This window comes from Homo sapiens, chromosome 8, assembly GCF_000001405.40.
Source record: "Homo sapiens chromosome 8, GRCh38.p14 Primary Assembly".
NCBI classification, from domain to species: Eukaryota; Metazoa; Chordata; class Mammalia; order Primates; family Hominidae; genus Homo; species Homo sapiens.
In genome coordinates, this window is record NC_000008.11 from 53,767,597 (window position 1) to 53,794,441 (window position 26,845).

At 38.5% G+C, this 26,845-nt stretch overlaps 1 protein-coding gene across 5 annotated transcripts in view; it reads right to left on the reverse strand.

The window, feature by feature from the left end:
• ATP6V1H (ATPase H+ transporting V1 subunit H) overlaps positions 1–26,845 on the reverse strand; it is a 127,703-nt gene that overhangs the window by 52,054 nt on the left and 48,804 nt on the right. For all 5 annotated transcript variants that reach the window (NM_213619.3, NM_015941.4, XM_006716455.4 and 2 more), the window contains 2 exons: positions 4,393–4,571; positions 2,022–2,147 (listed from right to left, as the gene is read on the reverse strand). In NM_213619.3, the coding sequence (NP_998784.1) occupies positions 2,022–2,147; positions 4,393–4,571 (305 nt within the window). The remainder of the gene's footprint in view (positions 1–2,021; positions 2,148–4,392; positions 4,572–26,845) is intronic.

The following is a 26,845-nucleotide window of genomic DNA, read 5'->3' on the forward strand; positions in this document are numbered from 1 at the left end:
TCAAAACAGTGTGGTACTACTATCACAGTAATCTTACTGACCAACAGAGAGTTCAGAAATAAACCCATGTCTATAGTCAATTGATTTTCCACAAGGATGCCAAGATAATTCAATAGGTAAAGAACAATCTTTTCAACAAATAGTACTTAGGACAACAGGATAGCCACATGCAAAAGAAAGAAGTTGGAACCTTACTTCATACCATATACAAAAATTAACTCAAAATGGATCAAGAACCCAAATGTAAGAACTAAATCTATAAAAATATTGTGAAAACATGGGAGTAAATCAGTTTTGGCAACAGACCAAAAGCATGAGAAACTAAGGAAACAACAAATTAGACTTGATCGAAATTTTAAAACTTTTGTGCTTCAAAGGACACTATCAACAAAGTGATAAGATAACCCACAAAATGAGACAAAATATTTGCAAATCACATATATGATCTTGGACCTGTATCCAGAATATATGAAGAACCCCTACAACTAAGTAATAAGAAGACAATCCAACTAAAAAATGAGCCAAGCATCTGAACAGACATTTCTCCAAAGTAGATATACAAATGGCCAATAAGCACATGAAAAGATGCTTGACATTATCAGCCATCAGGAAATACAAATAGACACCACAATGAGATATCACTGCACACTCACTCAGTGTGAGTGGCTAGAATCAAAAAGGTCATAATAAACGTTGGCAAAGATGTGGAGATATCAGAACCCTCATTCACTGTTGGTGGGAACAGAAAATTGTGTAGCCACTTTGGAAAACAGTCTGGCAGTTCCTCAAATGGTTAATCACAGAGTTAACATATGACTCAGCAATTTCACACCCAAGTATCTAACAGCAAGACAAATGAAAACATACACCCACACAACAACTCATACCACAAGTATTATTGGCAATATTTATAATAACCAAAAGGTAGAAACAACCCAAAAGTCCATGAACTGATGAGTGAATAAATAAAATGTGGTCTTATCCACAACGGAAAATCATTCAACCATAAAAAGGAATGAAGTAGTGATAAATTCCACAACATGGATGAGCCCTGAACACATTACAGTACATGAAAGAAGCCAGTCACAAAAAAAAATCTATTATATGATTCCATTTACATGAAATTTCTGTAACAGGCAAATCGAGATATTGGTGGTTACTTAGGGCTAGGTAGATGGGTGGATAGAGAGGTGACGGCCAAAGGATATGGGGTTTCTTTTTGAAGCAATGAAAATGTTCTAAACTGATTTTGTCAATGGGTACAAATATCTGAATATACTAAAAACCACTGAATTCTACGGTTTAAACAGATGAATTGTATGCTATACAAATTATACCTCACTAAAAAAAGAAAGAAACCTACACATATTAGTCATCTTATTATGACAAAGGTAAACCTGGAGGGCACTGGTGGAAGTGTTTTCAATAAATGGGGCTGGTTCAATTAGATATCTATGGAAAGAAAAAAATAAATCCTGTTTCCTACTTTATCCCTTACCCAAAAATCAATTCCAGATGGACTGGGTATCTAAATATAAGAAGTTAAACAATAAAGCTTCTAGGAGATATCACATAAAGACATCTTCATGACCTTGAGTAGGCAAAAACTTCTTAACCAGGACACAGAAAAGCACTAGCCATACAGGGAAAGACTGATGAATTGACCTACATCGAAATTTAGAGCATCTCTTCATCAAGACACCATTAAAAAGTAAAATGGCATGCAACAGAGTGGGGACAAAATGGCTGTGATGAAAATATATATATGAGACAACAACTTCATGTTCAGAATACATATAGAACTCCTGTAGAAGGAAAGAAAATAGACTTGAACAGGCACTTCTCCAAGAAGAGATGTCCAGATGGTCAAAAGGATATGAAAAGGCATTCAACCACATTAGTCAGCAAGAAAATACAAATTAAAACCATAGAATATCTAAAATTTAGAGTGACAAAAACGAGTGTTGGTGAGGATTTGGGATAACAGATATTAAGAGTGTAAAGTAGAACAAAAAACTTACTTCAAGAGTTCATAATTCTTCTCATTTAACCTCACAGCATTCTCTCTCCAAAATTTCTCAGATTTGTGCACAGGACTCCATTCCAACCTTCCAGATTTAAGTTCTGAACTGTATTCATCAAATGAACTATAAAAATGTTCAAAAGAATTCAAGGTTTATAAGAATCTGACAGTACTCCAAAATTAAGCAAAATAAAATGTCTTCACTTATTATTTAATTACAAAGACTGACCATCCTTTGTACATTAAAAAACTACCACCAAACGAACTTTAAACAGTTTAAATAATCTTTAATAAATCATGTGAAATTTTATTCAGTGTAGTAAGGTCCAACCCTCCTGTCAAATTTGAATGCTGGGTATGAGACATAAAAATCAGCACTTGCTTTCAAAATCCTTACTCCAATATATACATGAATGTGTATAAGCAAAAAAATTGATAATCAGAATTTCTACCATGACACTTGAAATACTGTATTTCCCAGACCAACAGGCAAAATAATATGTTATGTAAAAGCATAGTACTTTAACATAATAAACTCATATTATACTATAAATATCATAAACTGTAATAATACATCACAAAAACAAAATCACACTTATTGGCACAATATTTTACAATGTGATTACAAAGAGTGTAGACATAATTAATTGAATTAATCCATTACAGACTAAATACAAAAGCCTCTGTACATATAACAAACTGCAATTCACCTTAATTTAAAAACCATTCACTGGATAGTAACTTGATTATTCCAAGCTTTACAGTAGGAAAATGTTTAATGTGGTTAGCCAGTAGACAAACACAGTCAGAACATACTTGGACTTTCTCTGAAGTAAAAATTTATAAAAGATGTAACCATTCAAATACTACTAGTAATTCGGTATAACCAGGATGTACTAGATAAGTTGATCAGAGGGTACCATTTGAATAAAGTAGTACAATACTTTAATGTAGGGCCAGTTAGTATAAGAAGTAAACAAGTATTTTTAATATTCATATCCTAATCCTGTAACAGCAAAAACAGAGAAAAGCCTCTTTTAGCTGCACCCATCACCCTATTAGCTTTATGTAAATAGTATTTTTCAAATTACCAAATTCAAGATAATCAATAATAATTAGCTAAAATTGATTAAATCATTTAGAAAGCTATCACTAATCTTATTTTTTGCAAAAACAGGCCTTAAATGATTATTACGGAGAACCAGTCATCAGTTTTTAATAAACATAGGAACAGAATGTATAGCTGTGAAGCCTATTCCTGGCCTGCCTATTATAATCAATGTATCCATATTTGAAATATTTGAAAATCTAGAATAATAAAAATCATTTTTCTTCCTCCACAAAATCCATTACAAACCACTGATACAGATAACACCTCCCATCTCTGGGAAATCTTTGGGCCTTGGGATTACGGCTGTACTGAATCATCTGGTAAATACATTTCTGGAGCACATACTATGCTGAAGGCATTTGCAGGGCAGACGGAACCTCACAACAAATCCTGCAAGGTTAGCATTTTTATTACTGTTTTACCAAAAGGAAAACAGACTTGAAAAAGTCAAGACACTTGTGCAAGGCCACACAGGGAAAAAGTAGCCAAACAATTCCAAGAATCAGCCTGGCTCCAAACCCCAATCCACCCAAGAGAAGTTTCTATTTCCAGAGAGTAACTCTTTTAAAAACATGCCAGTGGTAATTTAAAAACAAAGAATATGAGTGTTAATGGAAAAGATCATCAAGATATTATGTACGAAACAGAAAAAGAACAAGATCCAAAAGAATATGCAGAGCCCAATTTGTGGGTTGTAGGGGGCAGGCAGAGAGGGGTTAGAAGGCTTTTTGGAAGCAAACACAAGAGACCCGAGGGAGAGTGAGGCGAGGCAGTGAAGATGGTGGGAGTGGCATGGAGTCCCTTCCATAGTGGCTAATTCTTTACTGTACATACATTATTTACATTATTTTTAATATTAAAACATGAGCCAAAAGGCCTTCAAAAAGCAGGAAAACAAATACTTTCTCCATATACAGGCAAACCTCCTCCACTAATTAACAAACTACCTTTGTTGCTTAAAAAGACTCTAAGAGAAGACTCGAGGAGCTCCAGGGTGGAGTCATCCTGAGGGAGTAAAGCCGGTCAGAGTTTAGACGGCAGAAAACAGTGGGAATCTCCGTAAATAAGAAGAGATAACACACAGTTCTGACCAATTGTTGCCATGTCAGAATGATGTCTTCTCAGGAGACATTAACGTATTTTAGTGGACTCTCTTGATTTGTATAGGTGACAACAAATTCAGGTTTTCTTAAAATGCTATGCAAGTCAAACAAAGCCCAACAGATCCAGCACATGAGAATTAAAAAGAATAACACACCTAAGGTCCTGGACACTCTCTCCAAGTTTTTCCAAAAGAAATTTGATATCTTCGCTGATATCTTCATCATCGTACTTCTGCTGTTCCAAGTTCTCCAACTGTTTCAGAACTTTGCACTGAATCATAGCCAGGGCATATTCTTGGCGAGTTTCTCTTTCAGTTGATTTTTCTAAAAAGTTCTGGGTTAGACAAAGTGATAGTGAGAAACTATACAATTTGTCATGTGATGGATTCAGAGACCTCTGCACATTCTTTTATAGTCTCTCTCCTCCTCCTATTCTCAAGTTTAACTATCACCTTTAAGTGGATGACTCTATCTCAAATCCTTACTTCGCTCCTGAGTGTCTGTCCCATATCAGAAGCCTACTTCTGATCATTTTTGTATTTCCTGGATTACTAAACATCTTTAATTTTTGACCCAGATGAGCCCTACAACACTGAACACGTTTACAATGAAATCCACCACAGTCCTTTTTCATGGACTTGCTCTGGCTGTGAGCTCTCATTTGTTGCCCACCTAGAGCACATACAATACTAAGAGAGAGTGTTTCTTCAAGTTTGCAATCAAGCCAAGTTCTCCAGTTCCCAGTCTGTCACCATTTTCCCCCATCTCTAATCAACCTGTAAGCACAAGGGACAACAATTTTTAAAACTCCCTTGTTTGAACAATTATCAGAAAAGTTTTGCGACATTCGGGCAAATTCCCGAGTTCTCTTCTAGGATTTTCTATTTTTAAGAGTACTTAAGAAAATGGCAAAATAATCCACAAATTTATAACAATAAGCTGTCATGGAATTAAGCAATGTTTCTGAGTAAGGACCAGGCTAAACTCTTGGAACAAGAAGCAACAAGACAGACCTCTGTTTTAAAAAAAAGCTACTTTCACCAAGCTAGTTTAAAAAGCCTATCAAATGCAAAAAAAAAAAAAAAAAAACAAAACAGTAACAATTAACTCCAATTGTAAAAAAACTTGAATTTTTTTTTCTTTTTACAAGTAAGTTCTATCCCTAATAATAAGGCTGAACAAATGCAAAAAGTGATTTAGCTTAGTATGTGGAAGTCAGTGAAATCAATGCCCACCAATCTTCCCTTTATGTTTCTACCAGATTTTAAGTACCCTGAGAGTAGTTTGCCTTATTTTTCTTTCTATCACAAGTGCTTGGCTCAGAGTTGATATTCAATAATAAAATATTTGTGAACCTAATATTCCTACTCAGTGCTTACATCTATAGATATCAGAAATTACTTGCAATCCTCCTTATTATGAATAGATAATGAATAGAGTAGCAGCAACAGTATAAATTAATTTGCTTTTAAAATTACTTCAAAACTAAAACATGAATGTCCACTCAGGTACGATGGATTTAAGAACCTACTGAACCAACCTCTCTCTGGCAGAAAACAACTATAAAACCTGAACAGACTGAAAAGGCAACTACTTAAAAAAACAGTAAATAGAAGCAGACAGAATCTGGTATGAAGTTCATACTCACATACAGTAGGGAAGTCAAGGAACAATACAAATACGTTCCTGTCACTGCAATTTTTATCCTGAAGCTAAGGCACAGTGGCAAAGAAGCCACAGAAAAGCCAAAAATAGTCTTTCTGGCCTGGGGAACCAGAAAAGTGAAGCTGGAAAACCATGAACACTGAGGGCTAAGGCTGGGGGGAGCCCCAGAAAACAAAGAGCAAGAAAGGAGACCCAAATCCTATCTGAATACAGCTCCAGAATGAACCAGATACTAGAACACACAGACTTCAAAGCAATTATTATAAAAATCCTCAATGAAATAAAATGCTTTCAATACATGAAAAATTTCAAACAAAAAACTTATAAATTATTTAAAAAGAAACAGAAATCCTAGAAGTAAAACTACAATTTCTGAAATAAAAAAATATCAGCTGATGGACTTAAGAACCAAGTGGAGATAAAACAGAAAAAGAGTAAGTGAACTTGAAAATAGGTTAAAGTTATCCAAGGAGAAGAATAAAAAGATAAAAGATTTTTTTAACAAATGAATAGAGGCTCAGTAATCTGTTATGTATTATCAAATGGCCCAACATATGTGCAATTGGAATACCAAAAGGAGAGGAGGAAGAGAATGGGGCTGATATTTTATTTGAAGAAATAATGGCTGCAAGTTTCCCAAATTCAATCTCAGAGAAATTTTCAGACACAAGATGTCCAGTGAACACCAAGCCCATGCAAAGGCATAGCATTGTCAAGCTGACAAAAAGTTTAAAGAATATTTTTGTTGCCTATAGAATTCTGAGTTTATAATTCACAGACAAACACACAAAACTAAAACATAAGAACCAAAGTGACCCTGGTAAACTTCGAGACTATTAAAGTTAGCAAAGCTTCCATCTACTTAAAGTAGAAAGTATTCATTTCAGAGAGAGAGGACAGTTCAGTTTGAACTGTTATCTTAAGTCAGAAAAACAAAACTACGATTCTGTGATATTTTCATCAGGTTACTTCTGAATTTCTATCATGTTACTATTTTATCCTTTCATGTAAAACATTGTGAACAAAGTGTATATTTACTGGTTCAATTTTAAAATATATTCCAGAGACTCCACTTCCAGGAATGATAAAGTGGCTTCTATCAGATCAACCCTTCCACAGAAACCAACTATAAAATCTGGATGAAATATAAAAGATTACCTGAACGAACAAAAGGTAGCAGAAACTAGAATGGAGTCTAGATATGAAAAAAAAAAGGAATGGCACTAGAAAAATTTCTACTTTTACATATGGCTCTCCTCCTGAAGATACGCCCCACTCAGAAAAATTCAGGTAAAACTCAGCCGGAAACCACAGCCTCAATGACCTAAGGAGACAGAGGACAATTCAGAGTGACTACAGCGGCTAGAAAGTGAGAGGAGAAATCAGAGAGAAACATAAAGAAGACCCAAATTCTGCATATGAACTCTGCCCAAATCTCTAGCTGACCAATGACCTATGCAACGCAAGTGTGTCCGCAATTGGTGGGTTCTTGGTCTCACTGACTTCAAGAATGAAGCCGCGGACCCTCGCGGTGTTACAGTTCTTGAAGGCGGCGTGTCCGGAGTTTGTTCCCTCTGATGTTCAGATGTGTTCGGAGTTTCTTCCTTCTGGTGGGTTCATGGTCTCGCTAGCTCAGGAGTGAAGCTGCAGACCTTCGCGGTGAGTGTTACGGCTCTTAAGGCGGCGCATGTGGAGTTGTTCGTTCCTCCCGGTAGGTTCATGGTCTCGCTGGCTCAGGAGTGAAGCTGCAGACCTCCACGGTATTACAGCTCATAAAACCAGTGTGGACCCAAAGAGTGAGCAGTAGCAAGATTTATTGCAAAGAGCGAAAGAACACAGCTCCCACAGTGTGGAAGGGGACCGGAGCGGGTTGCCAATGCTGGCTCGGGCAGCCTGCTTTTATTCTCTTATCTGGCCCCACCCACATCCTGCTGATTGGTAGAGCCGAGTGGCCTGTTTTGACAGGGCGCTGATTGGTGGTTTACAATCCCTGAGCTACATACAAAGGTTCTCCACGTCCCCATCAGATTAGTTAGATACAGAGTTTGGACACACAGGTTCTCCAAGGCCCCACCAGAGCAGCTAGATACAGAGTGTCGATTGGTGCACTCACAAACCTTGAGCTAGACACAGGGTGCTGATTGGTGTGTTTACAAACCTTGAGCTAGACATAAATGTTCTCCAAGGCCCCACCAGAGCAGCTAGATACAGAGTGTCGATTGGTGCACTCACAAACCTTGAGCTAGACACAGGGTGCTGATTGGTGTGTTTACAATCCCTAAGCTAGACATAAAGACTCTCCACGTCCCCACCAGACTCAGGAGCCCAGCTGGCTTCACCCAGTGGGTCCCGCACTGGGGCTGCAGGTGGAGCTGCCTGCCAGTCCTGCGCCATGCGCTCGCACTCCTCAGCCCTTGGGCGGTCGATGGGACTGGGCGCCGTGGAGCAGGGGGCGGTGCTCATCAGGGAGGCTCAGGCTGCACAGGAACCCACGGAGGCGGGGAAGGCTCAGGCATGGCAGGCTGCAGTCCCGAGGCCTGCCCCGCGGGAAGGCAGCTAAGGCCCGGCAAGAAATCGAGCGCAGCGCCGGTGGGCTGGCACCGGTGGGGGACCCAGTACAGCCTCCGCAGCAGCTGGCCCGGGTGCTAAGTCCGTCATTGCCCAGGGCCAGCAGGGCCGGCCGGCTGCTCCGAGTTTGGGGCCCGCCAAGCCCACGCCCACCCAGAACTCCAGCTGGCCCGCAAGCGCCGCACGCAGCCCTAGTTCCCGCTCGTGCCTCTCCCTCCACACCTCCCTGCAAGCTGAGGGAGTGGGCTCTGGCCTTGGCCAGCCGAGAAAGGGGCTCCCACAGTGCAGCGGTGGGCTGAAGGGCTCCTCAAGTGCCGCCAAAGTAGGAGCCCAGGCAGAGGAGGCGCTGAAAGCAAGCGAGGGCTGTGAGGACTGCCAGCACGCTGTCACCTCTCACAAGGACAGACTCCCAGCAGCCCAGCTACATCTAAAAGAACTGAAAAAAGATTTAAGCTGCTTCTCCCCACAGGAAGAGAGAGCTTGGAGCTGGAGCCCAGCCAAGTTAACTGCCTGCTAAACAACCTCAATGTCCTATGGAGAAACATAACAGAAGCCAGTTCTAGGATGTATCATTTACAACATTCAGAATACACTCCCAAATTAATAAGCCTATGAAGAAACAGGAAAATGTGACCAACACTCAAGAGAAAAGTCAGTCAAGAAATACCAACCCTGAGATGAATTAGATGTTGGAGTTTGCAGAAAAAGATTTAAAGTAAACATTACGACTATGACCAAAGAAAAAAACGGTACCAATAAAAAAGCAAAAAAAGAAAGTTCAGTGGAGACACAGAAACTAAATTCCCAAATGGAAATCCTAGAAATAAAAACACAGATCATTTGAAATTTTAAAATTTACAAATGAGCTCAAAAGTGGACTGGAGATGACAAAGGAGTCAGTGAACATGAAGACAGAGCAACAGAAATTATTCAATTTCAGAGACAGATACAAAAAAATACTGTTTCTTCCCTCCCACAAACAAAGTGAACAAAGGCTCAGTGACTTGCAGTGCAATATCAAAAGGTCTAACATAAGTGGAATTAGAATGCCAGAAGGCAAGGATAAGTAAAAAGGTGCAAATGTATACCTGAAAATATAATGGCCAAAATTTTCCATCTTTAGCAAAAGATGCAACTCTACAAATCTGTAACTTCAGTAAATACTAGGAAATGTAGATACAAATAAAACTAAATCCAGACACATCAAAGTCAATCTTCAGAAAACCAAATATAGTAAAATTTTCAAAGCAACCAGAAAAAGATAACACATTATATACAGGGGAACAAAAATACAAAGGAAAGCTGACTTCTCATCAGAAACGATGGAGATGATTTTGCTGAGAGAGAGCATTAAAAAAAGAGAGAGAAAAATAAAGGAGAGAGGTCAGAAGTGGAACGATATCTTGAAAGTACCGAAAGAAAAAAAAAACAGAACTATATCCAGCAAAAATATCCTTCCAGAATAAAGGTAAACTAAAATCATTTTTTATAATAACCTGAGATAATCAGTCACCAGCAGACATACACTGGAAGATATCCGAAAGCAGGGATTGGCTAACATTTTCTGTAAAAGGGCGAAGAGTAAATATTTTAGGCTTTGCAGTCTCTGTCACAACTGCACAATTCTACTACTACGGTGCAAAAGCAGTCATTAAAAACCATAAACAAATGAGCAAAGCAGTGTTCCAATAAAGCTTTATTGATTAAAAACAGGTGGACCACATTTGGCCCATAGGCTTCCAAAGTTTGCTGATCCCTGGGCTAAAGAAAATTCTGCAGCTAAAGGAAAGTGATACCACAAGTGGAAAGCTGAGTGTCCAGAAAAGAAAAAAGAACTGTAGATATCATATTAATATATACCTGGATAAATATAAAACACTGTTTTTCCCTCTTTACTTCCATAATATACATGAGACTGCTTAAAGCACAAAACCCTGTATTGTAGGGCTTATAACATGTAAATACAGTAACATGACAACTGTAGCATAAAAGACTACAAGTGCTTACATTTTACATAAGGTAGTACAATAGAAAGGATGTGTATTGTGACTCCAAAATCACCTCTAAGAAATAAAATAGTGCAAAAACAAATAGTTAAAGACCCCAAAGAAATGTTATGATAGTTTTTAAAAATTTATTAATATATAACAGATGGACCTATTTGGGGAGTACATGTGACATTTTGATACAATCATATATAATCTATAATTATCAAATCAAGGTAATTGGGATGCCCACCACTTTAAACATTTATCTTTTCTTTATGTTGGGAACATTTGAATTATTATCTTCTAGCTATTCTGAAATATACAGTAGATTACTGTTTACTATCAACCTACTGAATTGTACAACATTAGGTCTTATTTCTTCTATATAACTGTATTTTTGTACCCATTAACCAATCTCACTTCATCCCCTCCTACCCTGGTACCCTTCTCAGCCTCTGACAACCGAAGACTATTCAGCCATAGAAAAGAATGAAATCCTGTCATCTGCAGCAACATGGACAGAACTGGAGGTCATTATGTTAAGTAAAATGAAATTTTTTAAAGGATGCACTTAACCCAAGAGAAAGCAAAAATGGAAGATAGAAGAACAAAAAACAGATAAGCAAACAGAAAACAAAGAGTAAAATGGTAGGCCTAAATCCAATCATATCAATAGTTATTGTAAATGCCAGTGAACTAGATACTCCAGTTAAGAGGCAGAAATTATTTGAATAGATAAAAGTTTAAGACCCAAGGATGTGTTGCCTAAAAGAGACAAACTAAATATGACACAGGTAAGTTGAAACTAAGAAGGAAAAAGATATAGCATGCAACCATAAGCGTAAGAATGCTGGAGTGATATTAACTTCAAATAAAGTAAACAAAGAGCATTACCAGTGATAAAGAAGGATATTTCACAATGATACAAAGTCCAGTTCATCAGGAAAATGTAGCATTCATTGTGTTTTAATTACAGAGCTTCAAAATTCATGAAACAAAAATTGACAAAACTGCAGGAAGAAATAGACAAATCCACAATAATAGCTAGAGATTTTAACAGCTCTCTCAGCAATTGATAGAACCACTAAACAAAAAAATCAGTACATAGAAGATCTAAATAACACTGTCAACCACCCTGACCTAAATGACACAGAACACAACTCCACTGGCAAAATATGCATTCTTTTAAGTGCACTTGGTACATCCACTATGACAGACTATAAGACAAGCCATAAAATGAGTCCCAAATTTCAAAGGATTGAAATCTTACAGAATATGTTCTTAACCGTAATGGAATTAAGCTTAAAAAGACCAGTAACTTTCTAATTTCTATTTGGAAATTTAACAATGCACTCCTATGTAATCCATAGTCAAAGAAGAAATCATGATATATGACACTAATATTATTACATGCTTGTCTCCTTTACTAAAGTGTGAGATCCTAGTAAATAGGACATACTAGATATCACAGATTATTTATAATTCTTCTCTTAACCCCCAGTTCCTTGTATAACTACTTCTACAAACTATTCTGTTTCAGAACACCTGTTATTTCTTTCTAAACAAATTATTTTCTGAGAGGGGAGGTGTAAATCTGTTAACCTCTTACTTATAAAACTCTTCCCCTCTTCCTTTCCTTTTGTGAGATTTCACTTATTTCTCTACTAAACTTTCGATGGTCTTTCCCAGTTACTTTTCCTATTACCTATCCTCTCCTCTAACTTTAGAAACATATCAAAGCTCTTTTGTTTATATGGTTTTGTTAATTTCATTACATGTATTTGTTGACCAGAGAATTAAACTCCATCTTTAAGATATTGTCGGCTGGACTTGATGGCTCACACCTATAATTCCAGCACTTTGGGAGGCCAAGGCAGGCGGATCACCTGAAGGCAGGGGTTCTAGACCAGCCTGGCCAACACAGTGAAACCCCACCTGTACTAAAAATACAAAAATTAGCCAGGCGTGGTGCTGCATGCCTGTAATCACAGCTACTCAGAAGGCTGAGGCAGGAGAATCACTTGAACACAGGAGGTAGAGGTTGCAGCGAGCCGAGATCATGCCACTGCATTCCAGCCTCGGTGACAGGGTGAGACTCCATCTCAAAAAAAAAAAAAAAAAAGACATTATCATAACTAATGGCTTCAACTATAACTTCAACACATTCAATAACTAATGTAGAACAACCCTATGGTATTCTTCTAAAACCAACTTCCCTCTAAATTGTCCAAGATAATGGCATTTCAAAGATTAGTCATTTTTGATTTTCCCTTTTTCGTCAACTTTGTCAAATCAATCATTAAGCCTTCTCTATTCTTCTTTAAATACATGTTCTCATTTCATTGTGTCATCTTGCTATAAAAAATGAAAAGAAGGAATGAATGGGTTATAAAAAGTAGTTAAGAAACTGAATCTGCCAGAAATAATCTACTTAATGTGGCAGCAACACATTTTTTGAAATATGTTATATTTTTTTTTCTTTTTTTTAATTTTATTATTATTACACTTTAAGTTTTAGGGTACATGTGCACAACGTGCAGGTGTGTTACATATGTAGCCATGTGCCATGTTGGTGTGCTGCACCCATTAACTAGTCATTTAGCATTAGGTATATCTCCTAATGGTATCCCTCCCCCATCCCCCACTCCACAACAGCCCCCGGTGTGTGATGTTCCCCTTCCTGTGTCCATGTGTTCTCATTGTTCAATTCCCACCTATGAGTGAGAATATGCAGTGTTTGGTATTTTGTCCTTGTGATAGTTTGCTGAGAATGATGGTTTCCAGCTTCATCCATGTCCCTACAAAGGACATGAACTCATCATTTTTTATGGCTGCAGAGTATTCCATGGTGTATATGTGCCACATTTTCTTAATCCAGTCTATCATTGTTGGACATCTGGGTTGGTTCCAAGTCTTTGCTATTGTGAATAGAGCTGCAATAAACATACGTGTGCATGTGTCTTTATAGCAGCATGATTTATAATCCTTTGGGTATATACCCAGTAATGGGATGGCTGGGTCAAATGGTATTTCTAGTTCTAGATCCCTCAGGAATCGCCACACTGACTTCCACAATGGTTGAACTAGTTTACAGTCCCACCAACAGTGTAAAAGTGTTCCTATTTCTCCACATCCTCTCCAGCACCTGTTGTTTCCTGACTTTTTAATAATCGCCATTCTAACTGGTGTGAGATGGTATCTCACTGTGGTTTTGATTTGCATTTCTCTGATGGCCAGTGATGATGAGCATTTTTTCATGTGTTTTATGGCTGCATAAATGTCTTCTTTTCAGAAGTGTCTGTTCATATCCTTTGCCCACTTTTTGATGGGGTTGTTTGTTTTTTTCTTGCAAATTTGTTTGAGTTCATTGTAGATTCTGGATATTAGCCTTTGTCAGATGAGTAGGTTGCAAAAATGTTCTCCCATTCTGTGGGTTGCCTGTTCACTCTGGTGGTGGTTTCTTTTGCTGTGCAGAAGTTCTTTAGTTTAATTAGACACCATTTGTCAATTTTGTCTTTTGTTGCCATTGCTTTTGGTGTTTTAGACATGAAGTCCTTGCCCATGCCTATGTCCTGAATGGTATTGCCTAGGTTTTCTTCTAGGGTTTTTATGGTTTTAGGTCTAACATTTAAGTCTTTAATCCATCTTGAATTAATTTTTGTATAAGGTGTAAGGAAGGGATCCAGTTTCAGCTTTCTACATATGGCTAGCCAGTTTTCCCAGCACCATTTATTAAATAGGGAATCCTTTCCCCATTGCTTGTTTTTGTCAGGTTTGTCAAAGATCAGATAGTTGTAGATGTGTGGCATTATTTCTGAGGGCTCTGTTCTGTTCCATTGGTTTATATCTCTGTTTTGGTACCAGTACCATGCTGTTTTGGTTACTATAGCCTTGTAGTATAGTTTGAAGTCAGGTAGCATGATGCCTCCAGCTTTGTTCTTTTGGCTTAGGATTAACTTGGCAATGCAGGATCTTTTTTGGTTCCATATGAACGTTAAAGTAGTTTTTTCCAATTCTCTGAAGAAAGTCATTGGTAGCTTGATGGGGATGGCACTGAATCTATAAATTACCTTGGGCAGTATGGCCATTTTCACGATATTGATTCTTCCTACCCATGAGCATGGAATGTTCTTCCATTTGTTTGTATCCTCTTTTATTTCACTGAGCAGTGGTTTGTAGTTCTCCTTGAAGAGGTCCTTCACATCCCTTGTAAGTTAGATTCCTAGGTATTTTATTCTCTTTGAAGCAATTGTGAATGGGAGTTCACTCATGATTTGGCTCTCTGTTTGTCTGTTACTGGTGTATAGGAATGCTTGTGATTTTTGCACATTGATTTTGTATCCTGAGACTTTGCTGAAGTTGCTTATCAGCTTAAGGAGATTTTGGGCTGAGACAATGGGGTTTTCTAGATATACAATCATGTCATCTGCAAACAGGGACAATTTGACTTCCTCTTTTCCTAATTGAATGCCCTTTATTTCCTTCTCCTGCCTGATTGCCCTGGCCATAACTTCCAACACTATGTTGAATAGGAGTGGTGAGAGAGGGCATCCCTGTCTTGTGCCAGTTTTCAAAGGGAATGCTTCCAGTTTTTGCCCATTCAGTATGATATTGGCTGTGGGTTTCTCATAGATAGCTCTTAGTATTTTGAGATACGTCCCATCAATACCTAATTTATTGAGAGTTTTTAGCATGAAGGGTTGTTGAATTTTGTCAAAGGCCTTTTCTGCATCTATTGAGATAATCATGTGGTTTTTGTCTTTGGTTCTGTTTATATGCTAGATTACGTTTATTGATTTTCGTATGTTGAACCAGCCTTGCATCCCAGGGATGAAGCCCACTTGATCATGGTGGATAAGCTTTTTGATGTGCTGCTGGATTCGGTTTGCCAGTATTTTATTGAGGATTTTTGCATCAATGTTCATCAAGGATATTAGTCTAAAATTCTCTTTTTTTGTTGTGTCTCTGCCAGGCTTTGGTATCAGGATGATGCTGGCCTCATAAAATGAGTTAGGGAGGATTCCCTCTTTTTCTATTGATTGGAATAGTTTCAGAAGGAATGGTACCAGCTCCTCCTTGTACCTCTGGTAGAATTCGGCTGTGAATCCATCTGGTCCTGGACTTTTTTTGGTTGGTAAGCTATTAATTATTGCCTCAATTTCAGAGCCTGTTATTGGTCTATTCAGAGATTCAACTTCTTCCTGGTTTAGTCTTGGGAGGGTGTATGTGTCTAGGAATTTAACCATTTCTTCTAGATTTTCTAGTTTATTTGCATAGAGGTGTTTATAGTATTCTCTGATGGTAGTTTGTATTTCTGTGGGGTCGGTGGTGATATCACCTTTATCATTTTTTATTGTGTCTATTTGATTCTTCTCTCTTTTCTTCTTTATTAGTCTTGCTAGTGCTCTATCAATTTGTTGATCTTTTCAAAAAGCCAGCTCCTGGATTCATTGATTTTTTGAAGGGCTTTTTGTGTCTCTATCTCCTTCAGTTCTGCTCTGATCTTAGTTATTTCTTGCCTTCTGCTAGCTTTTCAACGTGTTTGCTCTTGCTTCTCTAGTTCTTTTAATTGTGTTGTTAGGGTGTCAATTTTAGATCTTTCCTGCTTTCTCTTGTGGGCATTTAGTGCTATAAATTTCCCTCTACACACTGCTTTGAATGTGTCCCAGAGATTCTGGTATGTTGTGTCTTTGTTCTCATTGGTTTCAAAGAACATCTTTATTTCTGCCTTCATTTTGTTATGTCCCCAGTAGTCATTCAGGAGCAGGTTGTTCAGTTTCCATGTAGTTGAGCGGTTCTGAGTGAGTTTCTTAATCCTGAGTTCTAGTTTGATTGCACTGTGGTCTGAGAAACAGTTTGTTATAATTTCTGTTCTCTTACATTTGCTAAGGGGTGTTTTACTTCCAACTATGTGGTCAATTTTGGAATAGGTGTGGTGTGGTGCTGAAAAGAAAGTATATTCCGTTGATTTGGGGTACAGAGTTCTGTAGATGTCTATTAGGTCCACTTGGTGCAGAGCTGAGTTCAATTCCTGGATATCTTGTTAACTTTCTGTCTAGTAGATCTGTCTAATGTTGACAGTGGGGTGTTAAAGTCTCCCATTATTATTGTGTGGGAGTCTAAGTCTCTTTGTAGGTCACTAAGGACTTGCTTTATGAATCTGGATGCTCCTGTATTGGGTGCATATATATTTAGGATAGTTAGCTCTTCTTGTTGAATTCGTCCCTTTACCATTATGTAATGGCCTTGTCTCTTTTGATCTTTGTTGGTTTAAAGTCTGTTTTATCAGAGACTAGGATTGCAACCCCTGCCTTTTTTTGTTTTCCATTGGCTTGGTAGATCTTCCTCCATCCCTTTATTTTGAGCCTATGTGTGTCTCTGCACGTGAGATGGGTTTCCTGAATACAGCACACTGATGGGTCTTGACTCTTTATCCAATTTGCCAGTCTGTGTCTTTTAATTGGAGCATTTAGCCCATTTACATTGAAGGTTAATATTGTTATGTGTGAATTTGATCCTGTCATTATGATGTTAGCTGGTTATTCTGCTCGTTAGTTGATGCAGTTTCTTCCTAGCAGTGATGGTCTTTACAATTTGGCATGTTTTTGCAGTGGCTGGTACCGGTTGTTCCTTTCGATGTTTAGTGCTTCCTTCAGGAGCTCTTGTAGGGCAGGCCTGGTAGTGACAAAATCTCTCAGCATTTGCTTGTCTGTAAATGATTTTATTTCTCCTTCGCTTATGAAGCTTAGTTTGGCTGGATATGAAATTCTGGGTTGAAAATTCCTTTCTTTAAGAATGTTGAATATTGGCCCCCACTCTCTTCTTGCTTGTAGAGTTTCTGCCGAGAGATCCACTGTTAGTCTGATGGGCTTCCCTTTGTGGGTAACCCGACCTTTCTCTCTGGCTGCCCTTAACATTTTTTCCTTCATTTCAACTTTGGTGAATCTGACAATTATGTGTCTTGGAGTTGCTCTTCTCGAGGAGTATCCTTGTGGCGTTCTCTGTATTTCCTGAATTTGAATGTTGGCCTGCCTTGCTAGATTGGGGAAGTTCTCCTGGATAATATCCTGCAGAGTGTTTTCCAACTTGGTTCCATTCTCCCCGTCACTTTCAGGTACACCAATCAGACGCAGATTTGGTCTTTTCACATAGTCCCATATTTCTTGGAGGCTTTGTTCATTTCTTTTCACTCTTTTTTCTCTAAACTTCTCTTATCACTTCATTTCATTCATTTCATCTTCCATCGCTGATACCCTTTCTTCCAGTTGATCACATTGACTACTGAGGCTTGTGCATTCATCACATAGTTCTCGTGCCGTGGTTTTCAGCTCCATCAGGTCCTTTAAGGACTTCTCTGCATTGGTTATTCTAGTTAGCCATTCGTCTAATTTTTTTTCAAGGTTTTTAACTTCTTTACCATTGGTTTGAACTTCCTCCTTTAGCTCGGAGTAGTTCGATCTTCTGAAGCCTTCTTCTCTCAACTCGTCAAAGTAATTCTCCATCCAGCTTTGTTCCGTTGCTGGTGAGGAGCTGCGTTCCTTTGGAGGAGGAGAGGTGCTCTGAGTTTTAGAGTTTCTGGTTTTTCTGCTCTGTTTTTTCCCCATCTTTGTGGTTTTATCCACCTTTGGTCTTTGATGATGGTGACATACAGATGGGTTTTTGGAGTGGATGTCCTTTCTGTTTGTTAGTTTTCCTTCTAACACTCATGACCCTTGGCTGCAGGTCTGTTGGAGTTCGCTGGAGGTCCACTCCTGACCCTGTTTGCCTGGGTATCAGCAGCGGTGGCTGCAGAACAGCGGATATTCGTGAACCACAAATGCTGCTGCTTGATCGTTCCTCTGGAAGTTTTGTCTCAGAGGAGTACCCGGCTGTGTGAGGTGTCAGTCCACCCTTACTGCGGGATGCCTCCCAGTTAGGCTACTCGGGGGTCAGGGACCCACTTGAGGAGGTAGTCTGCCCATTCTCAGATCTCAAGCTGCGTGCTGGGAGAACCACTACTCTCTTCAAAGCTGTCAGACAGGGACATTTAAGTCTGCAGAGGTTACTGCTGCCTTTTGTTTGTCTGTGCCATGCCCCCAGAGGTGGAGCCTACAGAGGCAGGCAGGCCTCCTTGAGCTGTGGTGGGCTCCACCCAGTTCAAGCTTCCAGGCCGCTTCGTTTACCTACTCAAGCCTCGGCAATGGCGGGCACCCCTCCCCCAGCCTCGCTGCCGCCTTGCAGTTTGATCTCAGACTGCTGTGCTAGCAATGATCGAGCCTCCGTGGGCACAGGATCCTCCGAGCCAGTTGCGGGATATAATCTCCTGGTGTGCCATTTGTTAAGCCTGTTGGAAAAGCGCAGTATTAGGGTGGGAGTGACCCAATTTTCCAGGTGCCGTCTGTCACCCCTTTCTTTGACTAGGAAAGGGAATTCCCTGACCCCTTGCAGTTCCCGGGTGAGGCGATGCCTCACCCTGCTTTGGCTCACGCACTGTGCGCTGCACACACTGTCTGGCACTCCCCAGTGAGATGAACCTGGTACCTCAGTTGGAAATGCAGAAATCACCCGTCTTCTGTGTCACTCACAATGGGAGCTGTAGACTGGAGCTGTTACTATTGAGCCATCTTGGCTCCACTCCCTGAAATATGTTATTCCTTCTCTAAAAGTAGATGGTATCTTCACCTCAACAAAAGCAAAAGTGACAAATCCAGTATAAACATCATTTTTGCCTTTGGCAAATTAATGGTGCAGAGGGATGTTGACATTTCTAAGAACAAGGTGGAATCAGGTGACAATTCAGATCTTTCTGTCAGCAAAACTGAACTGCTGGCCTTGTAAAATATATGTGAAAGCAGTGTTTCGAAAACCATCGGTGGTGAAGACCAGTTTTGCTTGTTTTTTGATTTTCAATCAGTCATGAGCAAATACTTTTATGAAACACAGTAAGAATGAATTTCAAGACATGTAAAATACAAGTTCAATTTTCATATTATAAAATTCAATAAATCATTATTCTGTCAAATTCCTACAAGTTTCTAAATGCTGACTTTCACTTTCTGTACTTATCCATTGCAGGTTACTAACAAACAGTTCACTGCACTGCACTGATAATGTGGACCACACTTTTAAAAATGCTGTATTAAAGGACTCACCCCAAAATTTAAAAAGTCTCAGTCTTACCAGACCTCATCCAAACCTAGTATCTACTAAGCAAGATAGAAGTTAGGCAAAGACGTTGAGGCAGAATTCCTGAAACAGGGGATAAGGGATAGACTCCAGAATAAAATTTCTTCATGGCAATATTTCCATGCCATAGCAGTGGTCAGAACAGCCCCACACACACAGACTAGAGCTAGCCTCTTTGAAAGGGTTATGAGTATGAACTGCCTGCATGGAAAAATGCATGTACATGCGTGTGCATGTTTATGTCTAGTGAGTATACATGTGTAGATGTGAATTAAACATCATGATTAATCTATCTAATGAAAAGAACAACTCAATTTGGCTGTAATTCTTAAGGCTTTCTGATGAAAAGTATATCACTGTAAAAATACAATTCACTTTATCTGACATATAATGTAGGCTTTTGACTAAGCAGAGCCCAGAAGAGAAATCAAATGCACAACAAACAGATGTAAAACTCTAGGCAACAAAGATGATCTTCAATGTCTTTATCAGTCACAGCCCCAAAACATCCTAATTTATTTTAGGACCTAAAGATTGACAAATCAGTTTAACCAACAGCAGTAATATATGCAGAGACCTGGAGTACAGCATGCACTATGAATAAGTGAGATTGACATTTTCAAAAATAAAATTCATCCAGCCAAATGGAAAAATAATAACAATCATTAGCAGCTGCTAGATTTGTTCAGCTCACAGTAGCTCAGCAAGTTTTCTAAAGCCTCCCACAAAAAAAAAATTTCCCTGAGTTTTAGGATGTGTCTATACTATCTTCAAATAACCTCATCAGTAAAATCTTTTTTAAAGGTTACAGGAATTTGAAAATTACTTTAAAAATCATCATTGTTAAAATCAGTTTGATGGTATAAATCAAATGGCTTTACTATGTCTTTATCAATGGCTCAATTTTAGTTCCACTGTACATATCAAAATTGTGGATGTCTAAAGATGTTCTTCTTTCTGCTCTCAGCATATTCACATAATAAGTGCATTACCCCAAATTTAGCATATGAGAATCTAAAAAAAACTAATATTTCTGCCATTGGACTGGGTCTATTTTAAATATTCTGAAACCCAAAATTAGACAATAGAAGCCCATAAATTATTAAATTCTATGCATTATAAGTAAAAATTTGAAATTATAAATATAGTTTAAATGAGATTTTTAAATCTTGCTAAATATTAGTAACATATTCATGCTGTCTCTTTTAAATCAAACAAAACAGCACTAGATCTTTACCTGGGCTTAATATTAACTTAGCAAGAATCCAACTTACAGAGATAAAGAGGAAAACTGTTATTATTCCATGATTTTATGGAGAAAAGGGCAGGGAAATAAATACATACTGTATATTTACTATTGCAGACACTTTAACTGTTATTTCATGGATTCCTTACCTAATGTTTAAATGAGTTAAGTACCATCTACCACCTTTCACCATAAAGAAACTAGCTCTGGGAGTTCAAGCCACTCTCCCAACACTAAACAATCAAGTGCTGGAATTCACACCTAGGTCTATCCACTCCAGAGAGACTCTTGTCTATCCTTCTACTGCGCCATTATGAAACAGTTACACTACTCTATTTCTCAGATTTCCATAAAGGTACATAATTAATTCAGAAAGCTCCCAAATGAGGTCAAAAGAAAAAACTTAGGAATCTCAGTCTGGCTCTACACTTATGGTGACTTTTTGAGCTTTGTATACCGTAAACACAGTGACTTCATCAAGTTACGCTATCAAAACAAAGGTTTAAACAAAATGCAAAGGTTCTGAGAAAAGGTATTCTATCTTATGCATCTTTCCATATACTCAGTAACCAACAAATTGCCTTACATATATTTGGTCTTCAATAAACATCTGATGCACTGATAGATGAATAAATACAAGAGGAAGAATGGGAGAGAAAAGGAGAAGGAAGAACTTAAAGGCAGGATTCAATTAATATCAACTAATATCTCTCTTCTGTGATATTACAGTATTAGATACATGCTTCCAATAACCTTTTTATTTTACCTAATGATTCAGTGAAAAACAAAGGAAGAGAGGAGGAACTAAGTGGGGACAAAAAAGTAGGGTATGTGGGAAGCTTGGATAGAATATCATATAATGATTAAAGCAGCTTTTGCTGGGCTTTAGATTAAATCTCAGCCCATTATTAAAAATTAGTACCTGGGCCAGGCACGGTGGCTCACACCTGTAATCCCAGCACTTTGGGAGGCCGAAGCAGGCACTCTAGCCTGGGCAATAGAGCAAGACTCTGTCTCAAAAAGAAAAAAAATTATTAATACCTGGTTTTTCATAGAAACTTGCAGCACTTAAAATATTCTAAATAATACCTTTAAAAGCCATGTAGTCTCTTGAAACTGAGAGGAAAAGATATAAGGGAAAGATACATTCTTTGAAACAACAGGACAGCTAAAATAAGACCCTGACTTCTATTACAGCTCTTTCCCATACGTCTATTTCACCTTAAATAGACAAGTTATTAACAAATTATTAAAAGCCTATAACAAGAAATAATTATAAATTTTTACAATCTTTTACAATTTGAAAAATAGATATTTTCATTTCAAAAAATATATAACATACAGAAAAGAACAGGTAGAGGTAAATGGAAAAATAGTACTATTCACTTCCACATTAACTAATTAGGAAACTGCTGACCTTTCTATTGCCCCTAAGGGAAAGTCACACAAAAGATAATAAAAACAATAATAATTCATCTTTCTAGGATAATCTAATAGCAAAGACATTGAGTCAAATGTAACCATCTTTCCTAACAGTTTAGCAGTTACAAAATATATCTCCTTTTCTGAAAAAAGCTTTCAGTACCAAGTTTATTAACAACTTCCAATTTAGACAAAAGTCCATGTGCTAACAGAAAACAGGGACCCTCTCTCTCTAGTCTTGCTTTCTGTTATATGTTCATCTAATTAAGTAAACATGTTTTTACTTCTCTCTTAATTTTTAAAATGTGAACATTCAGTAACTGGGCCAGTCTTTACCTCCAGGTTAACTTTTTCATTGGATGGCAATTCCCTTGTAAATAACACACTTGCGTTCCAAAAGACTTTTCACTATTCTTTCTGTCTAGGTAACATCCAAAGACAAACCCCACAGAGACAACTATATGAACCCAGTGTTCACATAACCTGAAGTAAGTTTACCATGACTGCTGTAGCCCTGGTGCCAACAACCACCCCACGACCAGCCCTTTATACAGTCACAAATATTTACTGAGGGTCCATTAGGCACCAAAGGTTCATTTAGCACATATTTTTCGAAGGGTATTATCATGTGAGTATCAACAAAGTAATAGATGTAGGAGAGATGATATTACTCTCACAGGACACACGAAAAAAACTAAAGCACGGAGAGGCTAAGCAACTTGGCCAAAGCCTGGAGGCCAGCCCAAGAGCCCAGCGAACCTGACTGCCACTGCACATGCCAGCACACTCACTACAGGCCTGAGTGCATACAGACTTTGTAGTGAGGAGGGCCAAGCATGATCCACCCAAATCATGAAGAGATGAGATTTCAAAGACTCCTTCAGCTATTTAGTGCCTATCGTAATTCATCCAGAGTTGAAGCCTAGTTGTAGTAAAGGAACAGAGATTATAAACTGCAGGTTTTAAAACGTCAAGGGGGCTCCGTATGTGGGAGTGATATTGTGGGTAATTTACAATTTTACTTAATATTTTTCTATTGTATCTTTTTAACCATAAAACCACATTATTTTTATAACAGTAAAAGATCAAACTAGCTCTATTTTTGCAAATGGTAGATGCTTAATTTACACTAAAAGATTTTGGCAAAATAAAGGCTCCTGTGACAATGGTAGAATTAAAAAAAAGGAAAGACAAGGGAGAAACTCAAAACTAAGACAAATGGAACAGAAGGAGCATTAAGCCCTCAGAGAATAAATTTATTGAGTTGAAAAGATGCAATATCTATTTTGCCACAGTGAACAAATTTAAAAGAAGAATCAGCTCTTATTCCATGTTCCCTCAGAGCAGGAGAGCACAGAATAAAGTGCTAAAACTAGATCTGACAAAGGGTCTTATTAGAAGGTGCCATGCTTCAGTGAGTGATGCCCAAGAGTGTGAGCACAAGTTAGTGTCAGGTGATAACCAGGATGACTGAAATATTCATGTTGGCCCCACTAGTTCTATGCCCAGAGTGGTAGGGGCAAAAGATCCATTCACAGAACAAGTCTGTGCCTTCAGAAAGTAAACAGCCACAAATCCCAGGATTGCATCTTCAAGAGCCAGATTTATGTGCTCCATTTACTCTCTCAGAAGTCACCTGGGTCAGGGAAAGGAATAACAAGTCCTACAAGCACAAACTACTGATGATTCCAGAAGATTCTTTCTTCACTTGTTAACATTCAACCTCTCCCCACCGTTGCACTTCCAAGATAACTATTCCTGGTTCAAAAGGCCCCTTGAGCCCTCTCTTCTCCTCACATCCCCGTTCAAAAGGCCCCTCGGGCCCTGTCTCCTCCTCACACCCCTCCTCTGGCTGTCCGCCTCTCTTCTACTGCCTTTCCTCCCTTCGTCACTCATCACTGCATTGCACTGGCATTGCTTATTCACGTCGACTGTCTTCACCAAACCATAAGACCTTCGATGTCCAGCTCTATGTTGGTCATCTGTGTCCCCGAATAATTAGCACAGCCCCTGGCACATACATGGAACCCACAACTGTTTTGTGATTTAGGAGAGATTGGCAAAAGACTCCATTTCTGAAAATTTTTGCTTTTACTAAATAAATACGAATATGGATAATGAAGCACTTAAGTAGAAGAAAAAAATACATTCAGTTTACCTACTAAAATACTCCAAAGTAAAGCCTCATTAATACAACCTACTTTGACTTAAGAACTGATTATTATTTTAGCTGGACTGAAATTTACTGTGACAACTCATGTGGACAGAGTGTGCAGGAAACATGAAGAGCAGAGCCACCATGGTGAGGGAGAGAAGTAAGGAGGCTCCGCATTTGCCTGTTTCTCAAGAGTGAACTTCAAGGACCACAGAATGATTTTTACATGAAAAAGACTGTTACTTTCATAAATAAACATAATCGAAAGAAAATCTAATGCCCAGCCCAACACCTGGTCAATAGCTGGTCGGTGTTTATCACACCCAGCAGGCCACACCTGGATCTCACTGTACACTCTCCCAGAATCCACACTGAACACCACTCCTCCATGCCGTCCCTCACTCACTCAGCCCTTGCCAGGCAGCCAGGAAATACACAGGGCTTAACACATCCAGCTGGTATTTTAAGCAAAGAAATCTTCCCCTGATATTAGCTTTGGTTTTCCTTTTCACGTTTCCCCCTTTTTAATGCCAGTCTTAAGGTTCCTGAGAAAATGCATCGAGACAAGAAAAAAAGGAGATAGCAGGGTGGTTAAGAGGACAGCTTTGGAGCTGGCAGATCTCAGTGAAATTCCAATCTTTTCACTTACTGGGGAATTATCTCCGAGTCTTGGTTTCCTTATCAATAAAAATAGTAATAGAACTTACTGGGTAATCATGAAGCTTAAATAAGGCAATGCATAAAAATTACTTAATAAATTTTAACAATTATTATTCTCAGCATCAAAGACAGATTAGCATGATGGTTAAAAGCACGCATCATATTGCCTGAGTTTAAATCCCTGGTCTGCCACTTCCTAGCTATTTTGGCAAATTACTTAACCTCTCGTGTCCTAGTGACCACTAAATGGAGTTCCTGGGACAATTATATGTGGAATACATTTAAAGTAATTAGGACAGTGCCTGACACAGAATAAGCTCTCAATAGACATTAGCTGTTATTAACTACCGACACCTAGAAAAGAGTTCCTACACATCAAATTTTAAAATTTGGAAGGTGACAACTGCTATGAATAAGCAATTTATAGAAAGAATATAAATAGCCAATAATATTAAAAGATGCTCAGCCTCATTCATTATTAACGGAATGCAAATTTAAAACAATGATTTAGTTTTTAAACCAAGATTTTGTAAAAATTAAAAGAAGGGTAATATTATAGTGAGCAGAAAAATATGCACTCCCAATATATAGGTGATGGAAATGTAAATCTGCACATTTTTGAAAACTGCATGACATTATCTACCAAAAGTGCAGGCCAGCTGCTGTGGCTAACACCTGTAATCCCACAATTTTTGGGAGGCTGAGGGAGGAGGACTGCTTGAGCCCAGGAGTTCAACATCATCTTGGGCAACAAAACAAGATCCTGTCTCTACAAAAGATTTTATTTTTTAAATTAGCCAGGCTCGGTGGCATGCACCTATAGTCCCAGCTACTTGGGAGGCTGAGGCAGGAGTATCCCTCAAGCTGAGGAGTCCGAGGTTGCAGTAAGCTATGATCACGCCACTCCACTCCAGCCTGGATGACAGAGTAAAAACCCTGTCTCAAAAAAAAAATGGTGGGGTACAGTGGCTCATGCCTGTAATCTCAGCACTTTGGGAGGCCGAGGCAGGTGGATCACTTGAGGTCAGGAGTTCGAGACCAGCCTGGGAAACATGGTAAAACCCCATCTCTACTAAAAACACAAAAATTAGTTGAATGTGGTGGTGCATGCCTGTGATCCCAGCTACTCAGGTGGCTGAGGCACGAGAAACGCTTGAATCCAGGAGGTGGAGGTTACAGTGAGCTGAGATTGCACCACTGCACTCCAGCTTGGGCAACACAGTGAGACTGTCTTTAAAAAAACAAAAAAAAGTGTACAAACACATTCATTTGACTCGGCAGTTCCATCTCCAGAACTAAATCCAAAAGAAATATTCATCAAAGTGGGCAAACATATGTAAAAGAAACTAGAAACACCACCACATGGCCATCAATAGAGCACTGGTTAAATAAATAGCTCTACACCAACACAGCGGAAAATAGCCATTAAAAAAAATACTGAATATCCACATATACAGAAATGAAAACATATTCACTATATATTAAGAATAAAGTTATAGACCAGTATAATATGTCATTTTTATTTTTAAATACAAAACAAAATTATACATCTATTTATTTATCTCTGTGCTTGCAAACATCTGAAAGATGCTAGTAACTATATTTGGCAAATGTGTTATCTACATTAAATTTTGCAATACATCTGTACCACTTTTTATTTTCATTTTACTTTATTTTTTTTGATATGGAGTCTCACTCTGTCGCCCAGGCTGGAGTGCAGTGGCGCGATCTCGGCTCAC